The sequence below is a fragment of the Homo sapiens genome, chromosome 8, assembly GCF_000001405.40.
Source record: "Homo sapiens chromosome 8, GRCh38.p14 Primary Assembly".
NCBI classification, from domain to species: Eukaryota; Metazoa; Chordata; class Mammalia; order Primates; family Hominidae; genus Homo; species Homo sapiens.
Window position 1 is genome coordinate 137,280,361 of NC_000008.11, and position 4,943 is coordinate 137,285,303.

A 4,943-nucleotide genomic window follows, 5' to 3' on the forward strand; every position below is an offset into this window, starting at 1 on the left:
GGCCCCGCTTTCTGGATGGAACCAATGTACATCTTACATATATTGATTGATGTCTCACGTCTTCCTAAAATGTATAACCAAACTGTGCTCTGACCACCTTGGGCACATGTCTTCAGGACCTCCTGAGGCTGTGTCATGGGCCTGTGTCCTCAACCTTGGCAAAGTAAATTTTCTAAATTAACTGAGACAGTCTCAAATATTCAGGGTTCACAGTAACTTTCAATAAAGTTTTTCTTTATTGCAAAAAAATTGTTGTCATACATAATGATGGATTCTAAATGTTCAAGACTAAATATAAAAATTATGGTTAGACAAAAGATTCTTGAATGTCTAAGTTATTGTTTCCTTTACCTATTTATTTATCCATTCATTTATAAGTATTTATTAAATGAATTTCAGAGGTTAGCAACCATAGAATTAGTCATTAATGGATACAAAGGTGTTGTGGTCATCAATTTTATGTATCAACTTGACTCGGCTAAGAAATGCCCAGATAGCTGGTGAAACAGTATTTCTGAGTGTGTCTGTGAGGGCATTTCCAGAAGACATTAGTGTTTAAATCAGCAGGCAGAGTAAAGAAAATCAAATTCACCAGTATGGAAGAGTATCATCTAATTAATTGAGGGACCAAATATAACAAAAAGGTGAAGGAAGGGCAAATTTATTGTCTCTCTTTGAGTTGGAAGATCTATCTTCTCCTGGTTCTTGGGCCCTTGGACTAGAATTCGGACTTACATCATTGGCTTTCTTGCTTCTCAGGCCTTCGGGCTTGAGTTAGAACTATACCAGTGGCTTCCCTGGGTCTCCAACTTACAGAAGGCAGATCAGCCTATATATGATTTATTATGTTACATATATGATTTATTATGAGGCATTGGTTAACACTGTGAGCTTATATACATGTATGTGTATATATATATAGAGAGAGAGAGACACATACATATATGTGTGTGTGTGTCAGATTCTCCCCGGGGCCTGAAAGCTTAAGGAGATGAGTAACTCCTCCTTCGCAGGCCCAGTCCCAAGACACAAAGCCACTTGGCACCAGCAGCGTGTGTCAGCAAGAGAGCAGAAGCAGGAAGAGAGCCAGCCAGAAGACACGTACCCCTGAAGATCGAGAAAGAGGCCATCCAGGTACAACGTAGCAGTCAGACTAGGACACTTCCTGTTTACAGGAGACTATCAAACCTTTGTCCCATCCTCACTTAGGGCTGACGCCATTTTAGGCCTCAGCCGGCCTGCACCCAGGCACTCATTAAAACAGCATATTGCTCCACACCGCATCGTGTTGTCTGTTGGCATGCTTTTGGGGTTTGAACCAATACAAGAACCTTACATCTGGTACCAAAACCTGGGAGTGGCTCAGGTCTGCATACCCTGTGGACCTAACCCTCCACCCCAGAGAGCAGGCCACAGCTGCCAGACAAAGGAAGCTCCTCAGCCTCCAGTCACCTCTCCGTGCATGCACATCGGTCACTGATCTCGCCTACTGGTAAGTTTCCCCGGGGCCTGGTTAACAAGGGAAAATCCACACGGCCTCTCTTGGTTTCTCCGGTCCAAAAATCCAAAGTTGGTCCAAGAAGGCTCCGGTGTGTGCCAGGAACTCGCTGATCATCTGGTCTTAGGGGGACGCCTCTAAGCCATTTGATCCCATTCAGGGAACGAGAAAAGCAGCGGTGACGATTGCTCCTTTTATCGTCTCCCTCCAGCCGTCCAGGACGGTCTCCTTTTTCCCTGTTCTCCCAAGCTGACCCTCGGTTATCGGAAACTCCCAGTCCTCCATTCCAAAAAACAGCCCTCTAGGCTGCCCCATAAAAAAGCCTGTAAACCTTAGGCCTCAGGCAAGATATCCACCCTAAGCGCCTTATCTTTTTTGCAATACAGCCTGACTGCAGTCTGAATTAGATAACAGGTCCAAATGGCCTGCAAATAGAACATTCGACTTTACAGTTTTAACTGACTTAAGCAATTATTGCCGACTACTGGAAAAATGGGCAGAAATTCCTTATGTCCAGGCCGTTTTGCACTCAGATCACAACCCGACCTCTGCAATTCTGGCTTACCTGTTCAAATCCTTCTCCTCCATTCTCACCGCCCTGATTGCCTTTCTCCTTCCGACCCTAACTCTTTTTCCTCATTCAATTCAGCTGACTGCTGTCCACCACTCCCAGCCCCTACCTCTCCCTCTCAACTGTCTTCTTTAACTCCCCAATCTTCCTTGTTATCTTCTCAGCTGCCATCTTCCCCGCCATCTTCCCCACCATCTTCCCAGCCGGCATCACTTCCAAAAGTACCCACTCCTTTTCCTACACCGTCCCCTCCTCAAGACAATTCTAGTATTGCCTGTACCCATTCTCCTCCCCCACCACCCTCTCCTGAAGCCTGTAAACCCATCATGCCACCTTACACCCCTATCTATCCTCCATTACCTATCAACTCAACCCCCCTTCCCCCTTCAAACCCTCAGAAGGAACCATTTCCAGCTTCTTCTTTCACTACCGCCTATACTCGCTCAGGCACCATCGTTGACTCTTACTTCAGTGCTGGTGCTAGAGTGCTCCCTTCAGGAAGTAGCAGAAACTGAAGGTATTGATAGAGTTCATGTTCCCTTCTCCCTCACTGATCTCTCTCAAATTAACAACAGTCGCAGTTCATTTCCAGAAAACTCTACCTCTTATATTGAGGAGTTTCAGTACCTTACCCAGTCTTATGAACTAACCTGGCATGACCTCTACATTATCCTCTCTTCCACCCTCACCTCAGAAGACCAAAACCGTATCTGGACCCCAGTTCAGGAGCATGCTGATACAATTCATCACCAAGCTCCTGCCCAGCCTACTGGCACAGAGGCAGTCCCCAACCAGGACCCCCACTAGGATTATCAAGACGGGGCCTCTAGACGCCACCGTCCAGACCACAGGATTGTGTGTCTCCTTGCAGGACTCAAAAAAGCTGTCCATAAAGTGGTAAACTATGAAAAACTTTCAGAAATCACCTAAGGTCCTGACGAAAACCCAGCCCTTTTTCTCTCTCATGTAACTGAAGGCATGAGAAAGTACACCAACCCAGACCCAGTCAGCCCAGAAAGAACCACTGTTTTAAACCTTCGATTCATCTCCCAATCCACCCCTGATATTTGGTGCAAGCTTCAGAAGCTTGATGACGGCCCTCAAACCCCACAACGAGACCTTCTTAATTTAGCCTTCAAAGTCTTTAACAATTGTGATGAGGAAGTAAAAGGCAAAAACAGGCAGAGTTTCAAATGTTTGCCTCCACCGTTAGAGGCCCTGCAGGTCCCTGAGGCCGCAGCTCCACAAAGAAGCCTCCTAGCAATCCACCTCCACCTGGTGCCTGTTTCAAGTGCAGCAATGAAGGCCACTGGTCCAAACAATGCCCAAACCCAGGTAAGCCCACCAGCCTGTGCCCCTTCTGTGGAGGACCCCACTGGAAGTCGGACTGTGAGCAGCTCCTGCAAGGACTGCCCCCATCCTTCCCTGAGGTGACCAAAACCTCCTACTTGGATCTCTTCCGCCTTGCCGCTGAAGACTGATGGTGCCCTGGAATGGATGCCCCAGCAACTACCATTGCTTCATTCAAGCCAAAGGTAACCCTGATAGTGACAGGTAGGCCAGTATGTTTTTTAATTAATATCAAGGCCACCTACTCTGCTTTACCTAATTTTTCAGGACCCACCCAGTCCTCTCATGTCTCTGTTGTAGGAATTGATGGACAAATCTCCAAACCCCGAGTCCCCCTCCACTCTTCTGCTCCCTGCACACCTTTTCCTTCACTCACTCTTTCTTAGTCCTGCCCTCATGCCCAGCTCCGCTCCTAGGCAGAGCCATCCTTTCAAAACTCCATACTACTCTCCACTTCCATGTTCCCCATAGTACCCAACGCATCAACCCAGATCCCTCCAAGGCTTCTAACTTTCTTCTACTCCTTCGACCTCCCACCCTAAAACATGCAACTTTTCCTTATCCCCCATCCATAGTTAACCCCACTGTTTAAGATACTTCCACACTCTCAGTCGCAAAACACCACACCCTCATTCGCATTACCCTTAAAAGCCCCACCCAGTTCCTATCACAGAAGCAGTATCCCATCCCCCAAGCAGCTCTCACAGGCCTAAAGCCTATCATTTCTGGCCTCCTCGCCAGTCACCTACTCCGCCCAACAGACTCCACTTTTAACACACCAATTCTACCCGTTAAAAAGCCAGATGGAACTTAATGCTTAGTCCAGGACCTCAGGCTCATTAACCAAGCTGTACTCCCAGTATGTCCAGCAGTTCCTCACCCATACACTTGACTTTCTGCAATTCCCTCCAGTACCACCCATTTTTCTGTTCTAAATCTAAAGGATGCTTTTTTCACAATTCCTTTACACCCTGATTCTCAAAACTTATTTGCCTTTACGTAGGAAGATCCTGACACCCACCTTTCACGCCAGCTCACCTGGTGTGTACTACCTCAAAGTTTCAGAAACAGCCCCCACCTTTTAGACAGGCCCTTGCTCACGACCTCTGTACCTTATCTCTAAAACTGTCCATTCTCCTTCAATGTGTTAATGTTCTGCTCCTATGTAGCCCCTCTCAAGGAGAGTGCAATGTCCATGCTATCTCTCTCTTTTAAACTTCCTGGCAGAACAGAGGTACTGAGTCTCCCCTAAGAAAGCACAAATATGCACCCCCTCAGTCACCTATCTAGGCCTAGCTCTTACCCCGTGAACCCAAAGTCTCACAACTGACCACATATCCTTCCTCCAGTCCCTCCCGCCTCCACAAACTAAGCAAGATATTCTCTCTTTTCTAGGACTAGTAAGATATTTTAGGCTCAAAGTTCCCTCCTTTGCTCTCTTGCCAAACCATTATACCATGCTACTAAAGGCCGTCTCCATGAGCCTTTAAACCCTGCACAGGCTATTACCCAACCTTTCCATCT

General features: G+C 46.9%; 1 annotated feature.

The window, feature by feature from the left end:
* Nucleotides 711-1,910: an enhancer, noted in NCBI's record as "CDK7 strongly-dependent group 2 enhancer chr8:138293314-138294513 (GRCh37/hg19 assembly coordinates)". NCBI's record gives its function as "activates an origin of replication core promoter dependent on BRD2, BRD4, P300/CBP, MED14 and CDK7 cofactors, with strong dependence on CDK7, by STARR-seq in HCT116 cells {active_cell/tissue: HCT116}" and the evidence as "EXISTENCE:reporter gene assay evidence [ECO:0000049][PMID:35650434]".